At 44.4% G+C, this 24,534-nt stretch overlaps 1 protein-coding gene and 1 non-coding gene across 4 annotated transcripts in view; one reads left to right on the top strand and one right to left on the bottom strand.

Moving 5' to 3' along the window:
• Window positions 1-24,534, top strand: part of PRPSAP1 (phosphoribosyl pyrophosphate synthetase associated protein 1) — a 44,721-nt gene that overhangs the window by 17,391 nt on the left and 2,796 nt on the right. For all 3 annotated transcript variants that reach the window (NM_001366236.2, NM_001330503.2, NM_002766.3), the window contains 6 exons: window positions 4,373-4,545; window positions 6,142-6,257; window positions 6,710-6,765; window positions 7,946-8,091; window positions 22,917-22,987; window positions 23,792-23,938. In NM_001366236.2, the coding sequence (NP_001353165.1) occupies window positions 4,392-4,545; window positions 6,142-6,257; window positions 6,710-6,765; window positions 7,946-8,091; window positions 22,917-22,987; window positions 23,792-23,938 (690 nt within the window). In that variant the 5' untranslated portion in view covers window positions 4,373-4,391. The remainder of the gene's footprint in view (window positions 1-4,372; window positions 4,546-6,141; window positions 6,258-6,709; window positions 6,766-7,945; window positions 8,092-22,916; window positions 22,988-23,791; window positions 23,939-24,534) is intronic.
• Window positions 12,509-12,612, bottom strand: LOC124904120 (small nucleolar RNA U13). Its single transcript, XR_007065998.1, has one exon. It is a non-coding gene; the product is annotated as a small nucleolar RNA U13 (small nucleolar RNA).

The raw sequence follows: 24,534 nt of genomic DNA, 5'->3' as shown, positions 1-24,534 counted from the left end.
GTTGAATCCCTTGGAAAAATGGAAAATAAAAACCTCATGGGAAATTGCTCTTTTTTTTTTTTTTTTTTTTTTTTTGAGATGGAGTTTCACTCTTGTTGCCCAGGCTGGAGTGCAATGGCATGATCTCGGCTCACCACAACCTCCACCTCCCAGGTTCAAGCTATTCTCCTGCCTCAGCCTCCTGAGTAACTGGGATTACAGGCATGCACCACCATGCCTGGCTAATTTTGTATTTTTAGTTGAGACGGGGGTTTCTCCATGTTGGTCAGGCTGGTCTCGAACTCCCGACCCAGGTAATCCACCTGCCTCGGCCTCCCAAAGTGCTGGGATTACAGGTGTGAGCCACCGTGCCTGGCCTTTTTTTTTTTTTGAGAAAGATTCTCGCTCTGTAGCCCAAGCTGGAGTGCAGTGGTATGATGTCGGCTCACTACAACCTCTGCCTCCCAGGTTCAAGCAATTCTTCTGCCTCAGCCTCCCAAGTAGCTGGGATTACAGGCACCTGCAACCATGCCCGGCTAAGTTTTGAATTTTTAGTAGAGACGGGCTTTCACCATGTTGGTTAGGCTGGTCTCTAACTCCTGACCTCAGGTGATCCACCTGTCTTGGCCTCTCGGATTACTGGCGTGAGCCACCGCGTCCGGCCCAGAAATTGCTTATTAATGAAAGGAATGTTACCCTGAAATCAAGACTTCTCAAAAATTGTTTATCTTGTTCATTAATGTTTTATTATCTGGGCCTCCCTTGTGCTGTGTTCTCCAAAACTCATGGTGTCATACACTTGTGTATTTTACTTGATTTTGTTTTTATTTTTTTGTGTGTTTTTTGAGAGATGGGGTCTCACTCTGTTGCCCAGGTTGGAGTGCAGTGGTGCAGTCACAGCTCATTATATGGGTTTGAGGGATCCTCCCACCTCAGCCTCCCGAATAGCTAGGACTACAGGTGAGCACCACCGTGCCTGGCTGATTTTTAAATTTTATTTTATTTTTAGAGACCAGGTCTTGCTATGTTGCCCAGGCTGGTATCAAACTCCTGGCTTCAAGCAATACTCCTGCCTTGGCCTCTCAAAGTGCTGGGATTACAAGCATAAACTACTGCACTTGGTCCACTTGTGTATTGTCTATGACAAAGCCAGCTAAAAACCCACTACTTGAGCCTGGGTGTGGTGGCTCACACCTGTAATCCCAACACACTTTGGGAGGCCGAGGCGGTTGGATCACCTGAGGTCAGGAGTTAAGACCAGCCTGGCCAACATGGTGAAACCCCATCTCTACTAAAAATACAAAAATTAGCTGGGCATGGTGGTGGGTGCCTGTAATCCCCGCTACTTGAGAGGCTGAGGCAGGAGAATTGCTTGAACCCAGGAGGCAGAGGTTGCAGTGAGCTGAGATCGCACCATTACACTCCAGCCTGGGTGACAAAAACGAATTTCCATCTCCAAAACAAAACAAAAAACAAAAAAAACCTCACTACTTGAACAGATAACGCTTACAGAAGCTACTAAATTAACTGACTCCAAACATATTGTGGATATTGGGTTCTGGTTTATGAAGCCACAGCCAGCCTGGGTGTGGTGGCTCATGCCTGTAATCCCAGCACTTTGGGAGGCTGAGATGGGAAGATTGCATGAACCCAGGAGTTCAAGACCAGCCATGGCAACATAGTGAGACCCTGCCTCTTACAAAACAGAAAAGAAAAGAAAAAAAATCTTTTAAACAAAAGAGTCTCTGGGAAGGGGACCACACATTCTTCCATGAGTCAGATGTGCTCCTTCTTGGGAAGAATGAGTACCTCGAGAGTGGTCCCAGATGGCCTTTGGCTTTCTCTAGAGGTGGTTTGCCTTGTTTACCTACCACAGTGCTTGCCTCAAGTTGCCCCCTAAATATGTGTTGCATGGATGATGAACTAAAATTGACTATTATGAATTCCCAACTTTCTTGAAAGTGTTTGATAATTGCTTTGATTCTACCAAAGATTATCTGACCTTTTGATGCCAGACTTGGCATTATTAATTTGGAAGTCTGAAGGAGAAAAATGCTCCAATTTATTGAGAGAAAAAATAAAAGGTAACTGGAAAACAATGGAATGGATTAGCAGTCTAAAAGGAATGTCTTAGTTGTCTTGAAGTTGAGCCCTGCATCAGTCTCCTCAGGGAGACATTTTTTGTTTTTGTTTTTGTTTTTTTTAATCATAGAATGCTTGCAATAGTTAAGAAAAATCCAAATTACAAGGGTGAAATTGGAAGTTCCAGGAATTGAACCTGGAAGTGGAAAACATTGTCAGAATAAAAGGATGTCTTTGAAATCGCTCACTCCCAAATGCACTCTGCCTTAGAGAGAAGTGTAAACATAAATTGGAAGAGACTGGAAGGAAATGGCTCGATTACCCTTCAAGCTAGAAAGCATCTCTTGCTGAGTATTTCATTCAGCCACCTATTCAGCAAACGCTAACTCTGCTGTGTGTATGGCAGGCTTTCTGCTTTGCTGTAATGAGGGCAGCATCACCTACGTGTCAGTGTAGAGCTGATAATTGTTCAAGAACTGGTACCTGAAGAACCTGCTGCCATGGGTAGGAACTGATGACGTGGGGAAGGGAAGGGAGATACAGTCCTGACCCCCACCCCCACCCCAAGACGGGGATGTTTGAGGATGCGTGGATAGTCCAGGAAGAGCAGGAGGAAGCTAATGTGAGAAGTGAATACTGAGAGAGGTCCTGGAAGGATTTCAAGGCTCTCACCCCTTTTTAAAGGAAGAGCCTGTCTGGGAATGGTGGCGCATGCCTGTAATCCCAGTGCTTTGATAGGCTGAGGCGGGAGCATCACTTGAGCCCGGGAGTTCGAGGCTGCAGTGAGCTAAGATTGTACCACTGCACTCTAGCCTGGGTGACAGGGTGAGACCATTTCTTAATAAGTGAGTGAGTGAGTAAGTGAAAGAAAGAATGAATGAATGAATGAATGAATGCAGAGTCTACATTAGGTTTGATTATCCTTGGCAAAAGCTAGCAATCCAAATTTATAATCATTGGAAATTGCCTTTCCTTCTAATATCTTCCAGATTCATATTTCATTTTTTGTCTCTCTGGGTAATCTTTGTCAGGAATTTATATGTCAGGGAAAGAAAGGTCCAGGGAGGTTTTTTTTTGTTTGTTTTGTTTTGTTTTGTTTTTTGAGACAGAGCCTCACTCTGTTGCCCAGGCTGGAGTGCAGTGGCATGATCTCGGCTCACTGCAACCTCTGCCTCCCAGGTTCAAGAGATTCTCCTGCCTCAGCCTCCCCAGTAGCTGGGACTACAGGCACGTGCCACCACACCTGGCTAATTTTTGTATTTTTAGTAGAGACAAGGTTTCACCATATTGGCTGGGCTGCGTCCAGCCTCCAGGGAGGTTTTCGAAAATTAAGTTCCAGCTGGGTATAGTGGGTCATGCCTGTAATCCCAGCACTTTGGGAGGCCGAGGTGGGCGGATCACCTAAGGTCGGGAGTTCGAGACCAGCCTGACCAACATGGAGAAACCCCGTTTCTACTAAAAATACAAAATTAGCCACGTGTGGTGGTGCACGCCTATAATCCCAGTTACTCGGGAGGATGAGCCAGGAGAATTGCCTGAACCTGGGAGGCGGAGGTTGCAGTGAACTGAGATCACACCACTGCAGTCCAGCCTGGGCGACAGAGTGAGACTTCATCTCAAAAGGTCAGGAGATGAAGACCATCCTGGCTAACATGGTGAAACCCCGTCTCTACTAAAAATACAAAAAATTAGCCGGGCGAGGTGGCGGGCGCCTGTAGTCCCAGCTACTCGGGAGGCTGAGGCAGGAGAATGGCGTGAACCTCGGGGGGCGGAGCCTGCAGTGAGCTGAGATCGCGCCACTGCACTCCAACCTGGGCGACAGCGAGACTCCGTCTCAAAAAAAAAAAAAAAAAATTATATTCCAAGACCTCCCCACACTCAATGGAAAGAGACCAAATCTTTCTGTTAATGGCAGCTAAATGGAAGGGCAGTTGGGTTTCCCTTGGCATTCAAGCTGGCCTAAGCCCAAATCCCTGGGAGGCTGCCAGCAGGTGTTGGGTAACTCTGGTCACCAGCAGTTGCTTCAGATGTCACTGCAGTAACGGGGTATGACACAGGAGACCCAGGCAAATGTGAGGGTGGGTTAACTGTGCTGTGAATAGGAGTAACCTCAGATGAAAGCTAGGGCTTACTCAGCTACAAAAAGTCAGAAAGCTTCCCCTGCCTTCATGAGGTGCCATTGTAAGCTAGTGTGATGGTAAAATTCCCACAACACCCATCTGGGCAGCCCATGTTAAGTTGATAAAGTCAAGATCTTTTCTAGGGTTGATACATGGAATTAATCCCCAAATACAAACTTTGACTGTTTCAGAGATGTGAATACAGCTGTGATGGAGTTGCTCATCATGGCTTACGCACTGAAGACTGCCTGTGCCAGGAACATTATTGGGGTCATCCCCTACTTCCCCTACAGCAAGCAGAGCAAGATGAGGAAGAGGGGTTCCATTGTGTGCAAGCTGCTAGCATCCATGCTGGCGAAAGCAGGTGAGTGTGCGCGGGGGCCCTGGGGTTCCAGCATGATCCTTTAGGGCTCTTTCCTAGTTGGACTTAGCTCATACCTCAGATATCCAATCTGGGATCTGAGTGTTTGTTTCCTTTTGAACAGTTTTGGCTAAGGATATGTGAGCTCGGTTAGAAATTCTTTTTTTTCCCTTATTCGCTTTGTCCTACTTTAGAATACCATTGCTTTAGTGTCTTCTCTTCTCTGTCATCTGTCACATATTTTCTATTTCATCTTGTCATCGCTAAATTCTTAGCTGGCAGTCTTGGCATTCTTATGTGATCTTTTGATCTTCAGGTCTAGATTTCTATATCTGCTTTGTTAGCTAAATTCCATTTTTGTTCATAGTATTCAAGCTGGATTTTCTTTTACTCCCTCTCCCCCACCCTTGCCTTTCTACATAGTGGCTCATTTTCATTGCTTTATTCTCCTTGTGTGGCGGGGGCACGCTTTCTGGCCTGTAAATCAATGTAATATTTTACAATTGGGTTTCTATTCATCTGATGTCTGTTCTAAAACTTTAACGTATATTTGGGTCCTCGGAAAGAAATGTATGGTCCTCCCTCAATGTCCTTATAGGATTGGTTCCAGGAACCCATCTCCCGCTTCCCCGGCTCCTCAGCAGATACAAAAACCCAAAGATACTCAAGTCTTCCATATAAAATGCCATAGTATTTGCATATAACCAACACAGTCATCTGTAGATTATTTATAAATACCTAATACCATATAAACACTATATAAATTGTTGTTATGCTGTCTTGTTTAGGGAATAATGATGAGAAAAAAGTTTCATACCTGCTCAGTACAGACACAACCATTGTAGGCCTAACTACCTTTTCAGTCTGTGTTTCGTTGAATCCACACGTGGAACCCATAGATCCAGATGGTCAACTGTATGTGAATTTCATCCTCTCCAAAAAACTATAGTGTTTCTGGAAAGAACAAGTAATACTGGTTCTACACCCTGGAAGTTTTGCTGTGACCTTTGACCATTTGCAATGTGTTTATATATATGTACCTTTTCCTCTTCAGTACTCTTGATTATAAGAGTATCTCTTCATTGTTTTTCTATAAGAATACTTGAAACATTCTTTGTTACATACAGAAATTATTCTAAGCTTCAATATCTTTGTGTTATATGAGTTTCTTTTCTTCTAATATGTATATTACTTTGCGTTTGTGTTCTTGCTACTTTTTGCCTTCGCTACAGTTCTTTATCCTTTCTTTTAAGATTCTGTAATCAAGGCCTTACTGTTTTTTCCATCTCTTCGGTATTAATTCCATATTCATATTTTTGCTTCTGCCACATTATTCTTTTCTCAATTTTCTGGACCAAGCCAAAAGTCAATAATTCCCACTTTCTTAGCTTTAGTTCTTTGTCCATGTGGAAGGTTGTAGCCTTCTCTACATTAAGGCTTTATTAAGGTTAACAATCAAGCCTGTGACTGCAGTGCTTAATCACAGTACCCCGTCTTCAGTCTGCTGGTAGGAAGCAGGAGTTGAGCATCTAGTTTAGGTCCACTGTAGCCATTTACCTGTAGGGGTGAACTTTGTAATTTTTTGTTTTAAAATTTCAGGTTTAACTCACATTATCACTATGGATCTTCATCAAAAGGAAATACAAGGCTTTTTCAGCTTTCCTGTGGACAACCTTAGAGCCTCACCTTTCCTGCTTCAGTATATCCAGGAAGAAGTGAGGAACCACCAGCAAACACCCCATTGTCCTCAAAAGAGATCTTATTTAGTTTTTCTCTGGTATCAGATTTCGTTACTGGAAGGCACATCAAATGAGCTCTCCCTTAAGTCACAATGCCTGAGGCAGCAGACAGGGTCAGCTTTAGTCGTGGACGATCATAGCTTTAAAAGACACTAAAAACAGATTTTTTTTCTACGTATCTTTAGCAATTTGCTTATGTTTTCTAAAATGAATGTTTTAAGAATTATTTTTAAAAAATTCTTGACGTAGGAGTGCTTTTTCCAGTGATGTTAATTGATAAATATTGAAAAATCTAAAACTTGTGACTAAAATTCTAGCATATTTGATGACTAGTTTGGATCATTATAAGAGGGAAAACTTGAATACCAGCATCCAGGTGTTATTTTCTGATAACTTTTCAGTATTTTCTATTTTTCCTTCAAATCTAGATTCCAAATTACAGAAATGCAGTCATTGTAGCTAAGTCTCCTGATGCTGCAAAGAGGTAAGTAAGCTAGACATGGGTCCTGATCCCTCCTGAGTGCTCCCGAAGTCAGAATGAGCTGCTTTGGAATCCAGAGGCTGTCACTCGTGGCCTTTGAAAGCCCACTGGCTCTCATGTTAACCCCTCCATCGTTGTCATGTCCCATGCCACACACAGCTTTATCTCCAGCCTCCAGACAGCACACATGATCGCTGAGTTGCTCAGCTTTCCTCTGGGAAAACAAAGTTCCTTCAAGTTCTCAGAGAAAGGAAAGCAATGAGGCTATGAGCATTTTTCAAGCAATGGTTTTTTTTTTTGTTTTTTTTTTGAAATGGAGTTTCATTCTGTCACCTAGGCTGGAGTGCAATGGCGCGATCTCGGCTCACTGCAACCTCCGCCTCCTGGGTTCAAGCAGCTCTCCTGCCTCAGCCTCCCCAGTAGCTGGGATTACAGGCGCCTGTCACCACTCCTGGCTAGTTTTTTGTATTTTTAGTAGAGATGGGGTTTCACCATGTTCATCAGACTAGTCTTGAACTCCTGACCTCAAGTGATCTGTCTGCCTTGGTCTCCCAAAGTGCTGGGTTTACAGGCGTAAGCCACTGTGCCCGGCCCAGGCAATGGTTTTTAACGTTGTTCTTTCTTCTGAAGATGACTATCAGAATATTGGACAAAGGATAGAATCAAAATTATCTAGAATCAGGGCCAGGCGGGGTGGCTCACGCCTGTAATTCCAGCACTTTGGGAGGCCAAAGCGGGAGATCGCTTGAGCCCAGGGGTTCAAGACCAGCCTGGGCAACATAGACCCCGTCTCTACAAAATACAAAAAATAGCCAGTTGTGGCAACACATGCCTGTGGTCCCCGCTACTCGGGAGGTTGAGGTGGGAGGATCACCTGAGCCTCAGGAGGTTGAGGCTGCAGTGAGCCATGTTGACGCCACTGCACTCCAGCCTGGGTGACAGTGAGACCTTGTCTCAAAAAAAAAAAAAAATGTCTAGAATCAGATACAATCCCAAACCCTAACTCACGTGCCCTTTGAGTCATTTACATGCTGGCCTGGGCCTCACATTCTCATTTATATAAATAATGCCTTTGTATGTCCCTGAAACGTTAAATATTTTCATTTTATGGTTAAAAAATGATGCCGTAGTGATGCGTGGGATTTCTTCCTGTCAGTTTCACCATTTCCCTTTGTCCTTCTAGGGCCCAGTCCTATGCGGAGAGACTGCGTCTGGGTTTGGCCGTCATTCACGGGGAAGCTCAGTGCACGGAACTGGACATGGACGATGGTCGTCACTCCCCGCCTATGGTCAAAAATGCTACTGTGCACCCAGGCCTGGAGTTGCCATGTAAGATGAGCTCTGTGTTTTTATTTTATTTGTAAATTGAAGAAAGTTTTTTTTTGTTGGTTTTGTTGGTTTTGTTGTTGTTGTTTTGTTTTGTTTTGTTTTGTTTTTGAGATGGAGTCTCACTCTGTCACCCAGGCTAGAGTGCAGTGGCGTGATCTTGGCTGACTGCAACCTCTGCCTCCTGGGTTCAAGCAATTCTCCTGCCTCAGCCTCGTGAGTGGCAAAGATTACAGGTGTGTGCCACCACGCCCAGCTAATTTTTGTATTTTTAGTAGAGACAGGGTTTCACCATGTTGGCCAGGCTGGTCTCAAACTCCAGACCTCGTGATCTGCTCCAGACCTGGTGATCTGCTCGCCTCAGCCTCCCAGAGTGCTGGGATTACAGGCATGAGCCACTGCACCTGGCCCTGAAGAAAGTTTTAAGTAGTATGAATGGCTAGGAGTTATCGACTATGTAGATATATGCTGTCTTGTTGTTTTTTAATAATGGAATGGTATTTGCTATCCTCCGCCTTTTTTTTTTTTTTTTTGAGAAAGGATCTCCCCCTGTTGCTCTGTACAGTGGCACAGTCATGGCTCACTGCAGCCTTGACCGGGGCGCAAGTGATTCTCCCACCTCCGCCTCCTGGGTAGCTGGGACTGTAGGGGTACACTACCATGCCTGGATAGTTTTCTGTTCCTTTTTTTTTCTTTTTGTATGGAGACGGGGCTCCCTGCATTGCCCAGGCTGGTTTTGAACTTCTTTGCTCAAACAATCCTCCTGTCATGGTCTCCCAAAATGCCGAGATTACATAAGATTACAGACATGAGCCCCATGCCAGGCCCGATTTCCTCTTTTGTAAAAGGAAGTTGTGTTATACACATTTGTAGACTGTGTATGGACGGTTCTGCGTAGCACTCAGCATTCAGACGGTGTTTGATAATTTTAGCTTCAGTAAAAAAGTTGTATGTGTGATGGTGTGAAATCTTAAGCTTTTACATTATCATAAGCTGGGTGACAGCTGTTGATCAAATACCAGGCTTTGGGGATCAGGTAACTTTTATTTTTACTTATTTATTTATTTTGAGATGGAGTCTCACTCTGTCGCCAGGCTGGAGTGCAGTGGTGCAATCTTGGCTCACTGCAACCTCTTCCTCCCGGGTTCAAGCAATTCTCCTGCCTCAGCCTCTCCAGTGGCTGGGGCTATAGGTGCGCGCCAACACGCCGAGCTAATTTTTGTATTTTTAGTAGAGATGAGCTTTCACCATGTTGGCCAGGATGGTCTCGATCTCTTGACATTGTGATCCGCCTGCCTCAGCCTCCCAAAGTGCTGGGATTACAGGTGTGAGCCACCGTGCCCGGCCTATTTTTATTTATTTTTATTTTGTTTGAGACTGAACTCGTTCTGTCGCCCAGGCTGGAGTGCAGTGGCATGATCTTGGCTCACTGCAGCCTCCGCCTCTTGGGTTCAAGCAGTTCTCCTGTCTCAGCCTCCCAAGTAGCTGTGACTTCAGGCACACACCACCACACCCAGCTAATTTTTGTATTTTTAGTAGAGACAGGGTTTTACCATGTTGGTCAGGCTGGTCTCGAGCTGCTAACCTTAGGTCATCCGCCTGCCTCGACCTCCCAGTGTGCTGGGATTACAGGTGTGAGCCACCGTGCCAAGCCGTAATCTGCATTTTTAGCTTTTTATTTTCAACTGACTTTAGACTTAAAGTTGAAAGAATAGTACAGATTTCCAGCATATGCTCTTCACTCGGAGTCCCCAAATTTAACATTTATATACATGGGGTTTTTTTTTTTCCACCATTTGAGGGTGAGTTGCAGACGTAATGTCCCTTCATTCCTAAATACCTTCGTGTATATTTGTAAAGACAAAAGACTCTTATATAACCAGAGTATCATTATCAGACTCAGGAAGCTAACATTGCTGTAACACTGTAATCTACAGACCTTACTCAGGTTTCACCAGTGGTCCCAGCAGTGTCCTTTAGAGCAAAAGAATAAACTTGTTTTCTTGTTCAAGACCTAACCCAGGGTCACACATTGCATTTAGTTGTCATTTCTTTTTAGTCTCATTTAATCTGGAGTGGCTGCTTTATTCTTTGTTTCTTATGACCTTGATACTTTTGAACAGTGCGATCAAGTGATTTTGTAGACTCTCCCTTAATTGGGGCTTGTTTGTGTCCTCAGGATTAGATTCAGGTTATGCATTTTTGGCAGAAAATCACAGGAAACACATGATGTGTCCCATTACTGGTGATGTGCATTCTGATAAGTTGGTTAAGGTTTCTCTGGCAGGTTTCTCCACTGTAAAGTTACTCTTTTTTTTTTCCTCTTTGTAATTAATACTACCTCATGTTAAGACTATGTTTTAACTGTAAATATTCTGCTTCTCATCAAAATGAACATCTACTGATGATTCTTGCCTGAATCAATTATTGACTGTGATTGTTGTCAGTGTTCATTTTTCTAACTCTATCATTCCTTCTACATTTATTAGTTGACCTTCTAATGCAAGAAAGCTTTCTCTTCTTCCCTATTCATTTCTTCATTTATATCAGTATGGATTCATAGGCCTATTTCATTCAGTGGGTTATAATTCATTGTCGTCACAGGAATACCTTAAATATTGCAGGTTCAGTTCTGCACCATTGCAGTAGGTGAATATTATAATAAAGTGAGTCTCATGAATTTTTTGATGTCCCAGCACATGTAAAAGTTATGTTTATACTGTAGTCTGTTAAATGCTCAATATCATTGTGTCTAAAAACCAATGTACGTACCTTAATTTAAAAATACTTTACTGCTAAAAAATACTAGCAGTTGGCCAGGCGCAATGGCTCAGGCCTGTAATCCCAGCACTTTGGGAGGCTGAGGCGGGCAGATCACGAGGTCAGGAGATCGAGACCGTCCTGACTAACACTGTGAAATCGCGTCTCTACTAAAAAAATGCAAAAAATTAGCCGGGCGTAGTGGCGGGCGCCTGTAGTCCCAGCTACCGGGTGGCTGAGGCAGGAGAATGGCATGGAGGCAGGAGAATGGAGGTGGAGCTTACAGTGAGCTGAAATCGCGCCACTGCACTCCAGCCTGGGTGACAGAGCGAGACTCTGTCTCAAAAAAAAAAAAAAAAAATTAGCAGTCATCTGAGCCTCCATCTTGTTGGTGGAGGGTCTTGCCTCGATGTTGATGGCTGCTGACTGATCAGGGTGGTGGTTGTTGAAAGTTGGGATGGGCTGTGGAAATTTCTTTTCTTTCTTTTTTTTAAGAGATGGGGTCTGTTTCCCAGGTTGGTCTTTTTTTTTTTTTTTTTTTTTTTTTTGAGACTGAGTCTCCTCGCTCTGTCGCCCAGGCTGGAGTGCAGTGGCGCGATCTCAGCTCACTGCAAGCTCCGCCTCCCGGGTTCACGCCATTCTCCTGCCTCAGCCTCCCGAATAGCTGGGACTACAGGCACCCGCTACCACGCCCGGGTAATTTTTTGTATTTTTAGTAGAGACGGCATTTCACCGAGTTAGCCAGGATGGTCTCCATCTCCTGACCTCATGATCCGCCCGCCTCGGCTTCCCAAAGTGCTGGGATTACAGGCGTAAACCACTGTGCCCGGACCCAGGTTGGTCTTGAATTCCTGGCCTCAGGCAATTTTTCTTTTCTTTTTTTTTTTTTTGTTTTGAGACGAGTCTCTCTCTGTCGTCCAGGCTGGAGTGCAGTGGTTCACCCAGTTCACTGCAAGCTCCACCCCCCAGGTTCACACCATTCTCCTGCCGCAGCCTCCCAAGTAGCTGGGACTACAGGTGCCTGCCACCACACCTGGCTAATTTTTTTTTTTTTGTATTTTTAGTAGAGATGGGGTTTCACCATGTTAGCCAGGATGGTCTCGATCTCCTGACCTCATGATCCGCCCGCCTTGGCCTCCCAAAGTGCTGGGATTACAGGAGTGAGCCACTGCACCCTGCCAGCCTCAGGCAATTTTTATACCTCAGCCTCCTGAGTAGCTGGGATTACAGGCAAGAGTGATTGTGCTCAGCTGTGGCAATTTCTTAAAACAACGAAGTTTGCCTCGTTGATTGACTCTTCCTTTCACAAAAGATCTTTCTGTAGCATGTAATGCTGTTTTATAGCTTTTTTTTTTTTGAGATGGAGTTTTCGCTCTTGTTGCCCAGGCTGGAGTGCAGTGGTGCAGTCTTGGCTCACTGCAACTTCCACCTCCTGGATTTAAGTGATTCTCCTGCCTCGGCCTCCCTAAGTAGCTGGGATTATAGGTATGCATCACCACACCTGGCTAATTTTTTTTGTATTTAGTAGAGACAGGGTTTCACCATGTTGGTCAGGCTGGTCTGGAACTCCTGACCTCAGATGATCCACCCGCCTTAGCCTCCCAAAGTGCTGGGATTACAGGCGTGAGCCACTGCGCCCGGCTGACAGCATTTTTTAAAATGTCAGCCAGGTGATGTACTGATGTTCTAACAAGGTTCAAGGATGGCACATCTCACATGTAAGCGTGAACACCCAATGATCACACTTATGAACTACAAAATGATCTGTTTGATAGCATTTTACCTAGAAGAAAGAACTACTTTCTTTTTTTTTTTTTTTGAGACAGTCTCACTCTGTTGCCCAGGCTGGAGTGCAGTGGCACCATCTCGGCTCCCTGCAACTTCTGCCTCCTGGGTCCAAGCAATTCTGCCTCAGCTTCCCGAGTAGCTGGGATTACAGATGTGTGCCACCACACCCGCCTAATTTTTGTATTATTAGTAGAGACAGGGTTTTACCATGTCAGCCACGCTGGTCTCGAACTCCTGACCTCAGGTGATCTGCCCGCCTCGGCCTCCAAAAGTGCTGGGATTACAGGCGTGAGCCACTGCGCCCAGCCGAAAGAACTACTTTCAAAATTGTAGTCACTGTTCTCAAACCCTGCCACTGTGTTATCAAATAATTTTTGTAATACTTCTAAATCCTTGTTTTCATTTCAGCAGAGTTCACAGCATCTTCAGCAGTAGATTCATCTCAAAAAAAAAAACAAAAAACCTTCTTTGCTTATCTATCAAAGCAACTCCTTATCCATTACAGTTTTATCATAAGATTGAAGCAGCCCAGTCACAGCTTCAGGTTCCAGTTCTAATTCTAGTTCTTTTGCTCTTTCCACCACATCTGCAGTTACTTCTACCATGGAGGCCCTGAACTCCTCAGAGTCATCCATGAGGGTTAGAATCAACTTCTTCCAAACTCCTGTTAATGTTGATATTTTGGCCTCCTCCCATGAATCACGCGTGTTCTTCATGGCATCTAGAATGGTGCATCCTTTCCAGAGATTTTCAGTTTACTTTGGGTCCTTCAGAGGAATCACTATCTATGGCATCTATAGTCTTATAAAATGTATTTCTTTTTTTTTTTTGATACAGAGTCTTGCTCTGTCACCCAGGCTGGAGTGCAGTGGCGCAATCTCGGCTCAGTGCAACCTCTGCTTTCCAGGTTCAGGTGATTCTCGTGCCTCATTCTCTCGAGTTTCTGGGATTGCAGGTGTGCACCACCACGCCCAGCTAATTTTTGTATTTTTAATAGAGACAGGGTTTCACCATGTTGGCCAGGCTGATCTCAAACTCCTGACCTCAGGTGATCTGCGTGCTTCAGCCTCCCAAAGTGCTGGGATTATAGGTGTGAGCCACCACGCCCAGCCAAATGTATTTCTTTTTATTTTATTTTAGAGGCGGGGTCTCTGTCTGCTGTCCAGGCTGGAGTACAGTGACAGGATCTCCCTCTCTCACCCAGACCTGCAGTGCAGTGGTGCGATCACTGCTCACTGCAGCCTCTACCACCTGGGCTCAGGTGATCCTCCCACCTCAGCCTCCTGAGTAGCTTGGAAGCTGGGACCACAGGTACGTGCCACCACACCTGACTAATTTTTGTATTTTTTGTGGAGACGGAGTTTTGCCATGTTGCCCAGGCTGGTCATGAACTCCTGGGCTCAAGCAGTCAACCCATCTTGGCCTCCCGAAGTGCTAGGATTAGAGGTATGAGCCACTGTGCCCAAGCACCCAGCTAATTTTTAGAAATTTTTAGTAGAGACAGGGTCTTGTCTTGTTGTCCAGGCTGGTATCAAATTCATTGGCTCAAGTAATCCTCCCGCCTCAGCCTGTATTCTTGACAGTTTGGGAGGGTGAGGTGGGAGGATCACCTTATTGTTATTACTCTTAATAATAAGACTTGGAAGTTGAAATTACTCCTTGTTCAATGGGCTGCAGAATGGATGTTGTATTAGCGGGCATGAAAACATCACTAATCTCCTTGTGTATCTCCATCAGAGCTGTCGAAAGACTGTTGTTTGATAAATATATTTTTTTGAGATGGAGTCTTGCTCTGTCGCCCAGGCTGGAGTGCAATGGCACGATCTCGGCTTAGTGCAATCTTCACCTCCTGGGTTCAAGCGATTCTCCTGCCTCAGCTTCCCGAGTAGCTGGGATTACAGGCGTACACCACCACGCCTGGCTAATTTAGTATTTTTAGTAGAGATGAGGTTTCACCATGTTGGTCGGGCTGGTCACGAACTCCTGACCTCAAATGATCTAACTGCCTCAGCCTCCCAAAGTGCTGGGATTACAGGTGTGAACTACTGCGCCCGGCCTGTTGTTTGATATTGTTTGAACTTTTATCAATTATCTTAGTTAGATCTTCGGAGTAACTTATTGCAGCTTCTACATGAGCACTTACTGCTTCACCTTGCACTCTTAGGTCACGGAAACGGCTTCTTTCCTTAAACTTCATGAAAAAGCCTTGCTCTGGATTAGGCTTTGGCTTAAGGGAATTTTATTTTGTGTCTGGTTTGATCTATCCAGATCACTCAAACTTCTCTGTATCAGTAATAAGGCTGTTTTATTTTCTCATCATTTGTGTGTTCCCTGGAGTCACATTTTTAATGTCCTTCATGAACTTTTCCTTTGCATTCACAGCCTGGCTGTTTGACTAAAGAGGTGTAGCTTTTGGCTTTTGACACACTAAGCTTAATTATTTCTAGCTTTTGATTTAAAGTAAGAGACATGGGGCTCTTCCTTTCACTTAAACACTTAGAGGCCATTGTAGGGTTATTGGCCTAATTTCAATATATTGTGTCTCAGGGAATAGGGAGGTCCAACAAGAGGAAGAGACGGGAACAGCAGGTCAGTGGAGCAGTCAGAATACACATTTACTAAGTTTGCTGTCTTTTTTTTTGTGCGTGTGTGTGTGTGTGACAGAGTTTCACTCTGGCTCTCGGCTCACTGCAACCTCCGCCTCCCGGGTCCAAGTAATTCTCCTGCCTCAGCCCCTGAGTAGCATGCTTCACCACACCCAGCTAATTTTTGTATTTTTAGTAACGACGGGGTTTCACCATGTTGGTCAGGCTGGTCTTGAACTCCTGACCTCATGATCCACCTGCCTCGGCCTCCCAAAGTGCTGGGATTACATGTGTGAGCCACCACTGCATCCAGCCAGTTTGCTATCTTATATGAGCATGGTTCATGCTGCCCCAAAACAATTGGAATAGTAACATCCAAGATCACTGATTACAGATACCAGAAAAGACGTAACAATAATGAGAAAAGTGGAAATATTGCAAGAATTACCAAAATGTGACACAGAAACATGAAACGAGCACATGCTGTTAGAAAAATGGCACCCTGGCTGGGCACGGTGGCTCATGCCTGTAGTCCCAACACTTTGGGAGGCCAAAGTGCCAGGATCAGTTGAGCCCAGGAGTTCGAGACTAGCCTGGGCAACATGGTGAAACCTTGTCTCTACAAAAAAAAATACAAAAAATTAGCCAGGTGTGGCATGCACCTGTGGTCCCAGCTGTTCAGGAGGCTGAGATGGGAGGTTCCCTTGAGTCCAGGAGGCAGAGGTTGCAGTGAGCCGAGATCGCACCACTGCACTCCAGCCTGGGTTATAGAGCAAGACCCTGTCTTTAAAAAAAAAAAAGAGAGAAAAATGGCTCCCATAGACTTGCTTGACACAGGGTTGCCACAAACTTCAATCTGTAAAAATTTTATTATCTGGTAATCTAGCACTTTGGGAGGCCGAGGTGGGTGCATCAGCTGAGGTCAGGAGTTCGAGACCAGCCTGGCCAACATGGTGAAACCCTGTCTCTACTAGAAATACAAAAAAAAAAAAAAATTAGCTGGACGTGGTGGTGTGTGCCTGTAGTCCCAGCTACTTGGTAGGCTGAGTCAGGAAAATCACTTGAACCTGGGAGGCAGAGGTTGGAGTGAACTGAGATCGTGCCACTGCACTCCAACCTGGGCAACAAAGGGAGACTCCATCTCAAAAAAAAAAAAAAAAAAAGCATTATCTGCAAAGCAACATAAAGCAAAGTGCAATAAAATGAAGTATGCCTGCCTTTCTTCCTTTTTCTTCCTTCCTTCCTCCCTCCCTCCCTCCCTTCTTCCCTTCCTCCCTTCCTTTCTTTTCTTTCTTTCTTTCTTTTCTTTCTTTCTTTCTTTTCTTTCTTTCTTGTCTCACCCAGGCTGGAGTGCACTGGCACTATCTCAGCTCACTGCAACCTTTGCTTTCCAGTTTCAAGTGATTCTCGTGGCTCGTTCTCTCAAGTTTCTGGGATTACAGGCATGCACCACCACACCCGGCTAATTTTTGCTTTTTTAGTAGAGACAGGGTTTCGCCATGTTGGCCAGACTGGTCTCCATCTCCTGACCTCAAGTGATCCGCCTGCCTTGGCCTCCCAAAGTGCTGGGATTACAGATGTGAGCCACCATGCCCAGCCTACATTTATTTTAATGCTCAGTTTGTCTCATATTTGGCCAGAGAGAGCTCCTTGCAGCTGCCTCCTGTGTTCTTTTGGCATGTCCCCAACACTTTTGGAGACTCCCTTACTTTTGTGCTATAACCACGCCCCGTGTTCATCTTGTGCTTTCTTAGCACTGTACTTGGCCATTTCTCCAAGGAGCCCTTATACCTTTAGTGGAGAATGGTATTTATTTATTTTTAAAAATCAGTCAGGCCAGGCACGGTGGCTCACGCCTGTAATCCCAGCACTTTGGGAGGCCAAGGAGGGCGAATCACGAGGTCAGCCTGGCCAACACGGTGAAACCCCGTCTCTACTAAAATTACAAAAATTAGCCGAGCATGGTGGCGGGCACCTGTAATCCCAACTACTCAGGAGGCTGAGGCAGGAGAATGGCTTGAACCCGGGAGGCGGAGGTTGCAGTGAGCCAAGATGGTGCCACTGCATTCCAGCGTGGGTGACAGAGCAAGACTCCGTCTAGAAAAAAAAATAAAATAAATCGGTCAGATTTAGCAGTGCTGGATTGTATGCCAACTTTTTAGTGACACTAATATTAATAAGTATTGATAACCCATTAGCATCAGACCAGCTGAGAATGGTATTTAGAAACCAAGATTTGGGCTCAGGGTGGACATGCTCAGTTACCACACGTCACTACCTGTGAGTTACCTTGATTTAATGTCCTTTTGTAAGCAGCTGAGTATGTTGTGGGATAAAGACCGAGAAATAGGCCAGGCGTGGTGGCTCATGCCTATAATTCCAGCACTTTGGGAGGCCGAGGCAGGCAGATCACGAGGTCAGGAGTTCGAGACCAGCCTGACAAACATGGTGAAACCCCGTCTCTACTAAAAATACAAAAATTAGCCAGGCCTGGTGGCACACATCTGTAATCCCAGCTACTTGGGAGGCTGAGGCAGGAGAATCGCTTGAACCTGGGAGGCGGAGGTTGCAGTGAGCTGAGATCACGCCACTGCACTCCAGCCTGAGCAACAGAGTGAGACTCCATCTCAAAAAAATAAAAATAAAAAAAGACCGAGAAATAAAATTACTGGGTCAGAGGTTATTTTGATAGATGTTGTATTATCAGAGTATTTTATGTGGTGAGATTATTTATTCTGAGGATGTTGCTTTGTTGCTTAACGGTCATAACCATGGTTTCCCCGGCAGTCATCTTTGTGTGTCATAGGAAAAGAGTGCATTACTTCTAGACATAGTGGTATGTTTACATTGCAACTTTCACAGTTATCATCACATTGCTTTCTGTGACTCTCTTTAATAGGCTTAGCCAAGAAAATTCTGAAAAAATTATTTCTTGTATATGTAATAAATTGCACCTCCCAAATTAAATATGCCTCACATCTGTGTGTCAGTTATCCAATGTGTGCCAGTGGTTCGTTGGTTGGTAAAGAAGATTAAGATCTTAGAATGGTTATGACAGAATAAATATTCAACCTTGGACTCTTTGCATTTTTTAGGAAGATGAACTATTTTATTTTCCTCAAATCTATTCTTGTTTTTTCAGATAGAGTCTTGCTGTCACCCAGACTAGAGTGCAGTGGTGCGATCCCAGCTCACTGCCACCTCCGCCTCCCAGGTTCAAGCGATTCTCCTGCCTCAGCCTCCCGAGTAGCTGGGATTACAGGTGCTTGACACCACCCCCAGCTAATTTTTTTGTATTTTTAGTAGAGATGGGGTTTCACCATCTTGGCCAGGCTGGTCTCTAACTCCTGACCTCGTGATCCACCCACCTTGGCCTCTAAAAGTGCTGGAATTACAGGCATGAGCCACCGCACCTGGCCAAACCCATTCTTTAGAGCACTACTTCTTGCCCATGGGTGAGTTTTGCCTCACAGTGAATATTTGGCAATGTCTGGAGATGTTTGTGGTTGTCACAACCATGGGAGCTGGGGTGCTGCTGGCATCTTGTAGGTAAAGGCCAGGATGCTGCTTAGCATCCTGCAGTGTGATAATCACCCAGTCCAAAATGTCAGTAGTGCTAAGGCTGAGAAGCTCATTTTAGAGTAATTTGTTAAAAGAGAAGTTGTATGAATGAAGGAGTGAAACCTTAAATCTTTTCCATCTTATAGGTAGACTTGATACAGATGATGGGCAAGGGCATCTAACAAACTTGAAAAGATTATATGTTGGGGGTTCTGCTGAAGAAGACTACATTTGCCACAGGGGTGAAAAGTAAGAGTTTGGATCACAAAAGTGAGAGGAGGTCACTTTTTCTGGCTCGCTTTTCCTGGCTTCTTAATTTCACGAGTGAAGATGTGGTTTTCACCACTGAAGTGAAAACAGACATTGGCACCTCTTGAGCATGTTAAATGTAAATTTTGATTTGTTTGCATGCAGATAGGGGTTATGAGCTTGAAATCAGTTCATTTCTGTTCTACAGAAGACCTCATTTTATTTACTCATCTAATTTATTTATTTATTTTTCTGAGATGGAGTCTCGTTCTGTCACCCAGGCTAGAGTGCAGTGGGCGATCTCAGCCCACTGCATCCTCCACCTCCCGGGTTCAAGCAATTCTCCTGCCTCAGCCTCCCAAGTAGCTGGGATTATGGGCATGAGCCACCATGCCTGACTGTTGATTTTTTTTTTTCTTTCTTTTCTTTGAGACAGTCTTGCTCTGTCGGCCAGGCTGGAGTGCAGTGGCATGATGTCGGTTCACTGCAACCTCCACCTCCCGGGCCCAAGCAATTCTCCTGCCTCAGCCTCCCAAGTAGCTGAGATTACAGGCATGTACCACCACGCCTGGCTAATTTTTATATTTTTAGTAGAGAAGGGGTTTTGCCATGTTGGCCAGGCTGGTCTTCAACTCCTGACCTCAGGTGATCTGCCAAAGTGCTGGGATCACAGGCGTGAGCCATCATGCCCAGCCACTCATCTCTTTTTAATGTCAGTTTGTTGATATGGTTTGACATTTCATTGAACTAGAAATAGACAAAGGTCAAAATGGGTAAGGAATGAATTTTCTCATAGTTCTTTTTTGCTGTTTACTTTAGCAGAGGAAGGTTTGGTTAATTGGCTCCCAGGAAAGAGTAAATGTGTGCACATGTGTGCAGGTGCTTGTACTTGTGATGGAAGCGTGCGTAAGGTAAGGAGGGTTGTCAGTGCAGCTTTATTTTACTTGGAAAAGGCTACCTTTAAAAGCAAAAGACAACTTCCTACATCCTTCATAAGAGCATTGGAAATCGTTTGATGAATTGGAAACATTTTCACTGCAGCTGATGTAGTTTTCACAGTGATTTCTGGCCGCAAGTAATGTTGCACAATTCATTTTATTCATGGATTAGATTTTGTTTGATAAAATGGAAAGAGAGAGCAGAATCTAAACTTAGGGTAGTTTTAGCACTCTATTCTTGACCTTGTATGAAAACTGGAATTTTTAGTGTTTTATTTTTTGGGTAAGCTATTCAAAAACTGTTGGCCTGTGAGGTACTAGTCATTTTTTTCTACCCTGTAATAATAAAGTCTGTCTCTGTTTTGTGGCAGCCACCAGATTATGTGTTCACTTTTATTCAGAACCTAAAGGCAGTATCAGCAGGGAATGAGTATATTGGGCAGAAAGGCTTTCATTTTAGCCTTTTTTAGCCTCCCTCCTAGCAGAGCCTAGGTTTTTCATGCGAAACTAACAGTAGTTCTTTGTGGGAGGTAGGGTTGCAAAAAAGTAAACAAATATACTGTGATGTTTTCCGCATCAAACTAGAGCTGAATTTCCATTGATATTTGATGAGAGGTATTGGCTTGCAATCTTTCTTTTTTTTTTTCTTTTTTTTTTTTTTTTTAGACGGAGTCTCACTCTGTTGCCCAGGCTGGTGTGCAGTGGTGCGATCTCAATTCACTGCAACCTTTGCCTCCTGGGTTCAAGCAAGTCTTGTTTCAGTCTCCTGAGTAGCTAGGATTACAGGCGTGTGCCACCATGCCTGGCTAATTTTTATATTTTTAGTAGAGACAGAGTTTCACCATGTTGGCCAGGCTGGTCTTGAACTCCTGACCTCAGGTGATCCGCCTGCCTTGGCCTCTCAAAGGTGGCCTGGCCAACGTGGTGAAACCCCACCTCTGCTAAAAATACAAAAAATTAGCCAGATGTGGTGGCACGTGCCTGTAATCCCAGCTACTTAGGAGGCTGAAGCAGGAGAATCGCTTGAGCCCAGGAGGCAGAGGTTGCAGTGAGCCGAGATCGTGCCACTGCACTCCAGCCTGGGAGACAGAGTGAGACTCTGTCTCAAGAAAAAAAAAAAAAAAAAAAAAAAAAAAAAGCGGATAGGTCAACATAACTGCGTGTTTACATGGTTTAATTTAAAAACAGAATCTCAGGAAGCTGCTCCTAATGTTGGTGGTTTGAAACCCCCCTCCCCCCATTTTAAGTGATTTTATATGCAAAGCCTTCTTGTCTTGCCCAAATTCAAGAAGTTGTCTTTGTTTCTAGGATGTGAAATCAGGAAATATATGTTTGTTGAAATGTATAAAGTAGTGGTGAATTTCAGCTCAACTGATTTGCCAGTATACAGAGAAAAACACCTGTTCTTTGAGATACACAGTGCCTGTTGGGAATCTGCAAAAATTGTTTGTTGGTAGTCACTAAACTCTTGTTACCCTGAATTTTATTCTCTTTCGCTTCCCCCACTACTAGCCTAATAAATATTTCAGAATAATAACAAAGTTTAAAGAAAGAATACTTAGCCTGTTCTTCTGAAGTAGTCTTTGTTTTTCTTCTCTGTTTACTAACCTCCTTTTGAGGATAAAATCTTATTTCCTTTCTTTATCCTGTAGTTTCCTTTGTACACTCATAGCCTTTCTTCAGATGCAGATTTTGCAGTCAGATAAAAGTCTCTACTTTAAGCACCAATTAAATCAGGAAAAGATGATGGGCCTGGAGTTATTGTCTTCAAGTTCCTGATTTTGAGGAAACTCTGATTATGTCAGTAGTGCAGTTATCTGATAGTAAGGTTACACTGTCCAAATAAGGTGACTTTGGAAGAAAATAACATAAAGCCATCTCATGATCTGGCAGCCTTTCGCTGTTTCGCTTTCTGCAGAGCGGCATTCCTTCTGCATGTCTCTGTCAGTCTCTGTGAGAGTGGGGTTTCTATCCACACAGCACTGCGGTGCAGCTTCTCCGTGTTGGCAGAATCTTCCATGCTCTGCTGGTTCGTTGTCTTTCCAGCTGTGCTGTGCAGTGCAATGTGCTGGCTGCTGAGCTCATGAGACACGGCCCGTCTCAACTGAGAAGTGCTGTGCGTATAAAACACACACCAAGTAGAGAAGACTTGATAGGAAAAAAGTGTAAGGCTGGGTGCGGTGGCTCATGCCTATAATCCTAGCACTTTGGGAGGCTGAGGTAGGAGGATTGTTTGCTTCCAGTTTGAAATGAGCCGGGGCAACATAGCAAGATCCCCTCTGAGAAAAAAAAGTGTAAAACATCTCATTAATTTTTATATCAGGTTGGGCGTGGTGGCTCAAGCTTGTAATCCCAGCACTTTGGGAGGCTGAGGCGGGTGGATCACCTGAGGTCAGGAGTTCGAGACCAGCCTGACCAACGTGGAGAAACCCCATCTCTACTAAAAATACAAAACTCAGCTGGGTGTGGTGGCGCATGCCTATAATCCCAGCTACTCGGGAGGCTGAGGCAGAATTGCTTGAACCTGGGAGGCGGAGGTTGCAGTGAGCCAAGATCGCGTCATTGCACTCCAGCCTGGGCAACAAGAGCAAAACTCCGTCTCAAAAAATACATACATACATACATACATACATACATTTTTATATCAGTTACATGTTGAAATTATAATATTTTGGGAATTGCATAAAATAAAATGTATTAATTTCATCTGTTTTTAATGTGGCTACTAGAAAATTCAAAGTAACATGTATGGCATGCCTTCTATTTCTTTTGGCCAATGCTGCTGTTTCTGAGAGATTGCAGGTTCATTGAGGGGGAATTTGCATGGTTTGTTTGTTTTTTGTCTGTATAGTGGTTTTGCCACCATTTCCAGGGAATTAGGTTGTGATTACATTTCTCTAGTGATACATGAATGACTGAGATCTTGTAATTTGTTTTGTTTTGCTAGTGATGATGGCCAAAGAGAAGCCACCGATAACTGTAGTTGGAGATGTTGGAGGCCGCATCGCAATCATCGTGGTATGGTTATATGTCATCCATGTGCAGAGGTGGCACTCCTGGCTCTTGGTCAGTAGGTTGTCCACTCTGGGACTGTATTTCTAGGAACGATGATCCGAATGGATCCATGTATCCTTTCTCACCCAAACTCCCTTGTGCCAAGTGGCAGAAACCTGTATCCAGGTGAACATACATTAAAGTATAACCTACAGATAGGAAATGAGCACAGTACTCCCGTGAGAAAATTCAGCACCTTCACCTTCATCATGTGGATTCTAGGTTCTTTAAACCAGCTCACCTAATCATGCTTGAGCGTTAGGGCCGAAAGATGAACTGAAGATGAGCTGTTCCGTTTTCACAAGTAAGAATGGGTGTCCCCGTGCAGACTCGTTCTGCATGTTGACATACTTTTTTTCCCAGCTCTAAATATCTGCTGGCTAGTGGGTCATGAGTCCTTTGCAGTAGCACACTTTATTTCAGTTTTCTTCTCATGTCACAGTCTATTTGAAAAAAAAATAAATGGAACGCTGGCTATGTGGGATTCACCAGAAACGTGAGACAGGAAAATGAGTGTTGGCAATCCTCAGCTCCAGCCGTAATGTCACAGGTGCTTGACTGCGCCCGCCTCTGACAGACACACAAGGTACTGTCAGGTGCTTCTGTTGCCATTTCTGGATGCTCGTTCTTTGACCCAGGCACACAGCTCTGATTTTCCATCAGAAATCCTCTGAAACTGAGTGCAGAAGAGAGTAGAGTGGTGTGTGCATTGACAGTATGGGCTAGAGGGTGTTTCTTTCCTACCAACTCACTCTGTTCTCCTCCCAGGATGACATTATTGACGATGTGGAGAGTTTTGTTGCTGCCGCGGAGATCCTGAAAGAGAGAGGCGCCTATAAGATCTATGTTATGGCCACCCACGGCATCCTGTCTGCAGAGGCCCCTCGCCTGATTGAGGAGTCCTCCGTAGACGAGGTCAGGCTGCTTCTAAATCTTGAGCCAAGATTTACTGCTGTGTTTTCTGGGAATAATAAAATGATTCAGTCAATACTAAATTGCTTAATCTGTCTATAGCTTTTCTAGCTTTTGCTGGCTAGCAGTTCGTTGGGACAGATACATGTTTAGGAATACAGATAGTCCACGACTTACCATGGTTCAACTTAGAAGTTTTTGACTTTATGATGATGCAAAACCATTGCAATTACGATGTAATGTATAGTATTCGATAAATTACTTGAGACACTTTATTTTAAAATAATCGCTTTTATTATAAAATGAAAGCCTTTGCCCTAGATGATTTTGCCACCTGCAGTCTAATGTAACTGTTCTGGGCATGTTTAAGGTAGGGCTAGGCCAAGTTAATGATGTTTAGTAGGTTAGGCGTATTAAATGCTTTTTTTTTTTTTTGAGATGGAATCTTGCTCTGTTGCCTAGGCTGGGAGTGCAGTGTGGCAATCTCGGCTCACTGCAACCTCTGCCTCCCGGGTTCAAACGATTCTCCTGTCTCAGTCTCCCAAGTAACTGGGATTACACGCGCCGGCCACCAGGCCTAATTTTTGTGTTTTTCTTAG

The sequence above is a fragment of the Homo sapiens genome, chromosome 17, assembly GCF_000001405.40.
Source record: "Homo sapiens chromosome 17, GRCh38.p14 Primary Assembly".
Classification (NCBI taxonomy): Eukaryota; Metazoa; Chordata; class Mammalia; order Primates; family Hominidae; genus Homo; species Homo sapiens.
The sequence above is the reverse complement of the archived record's forward strand: the minus strand, read 5'-3'. Positions and strand labels throughout refer to the sequence as shown.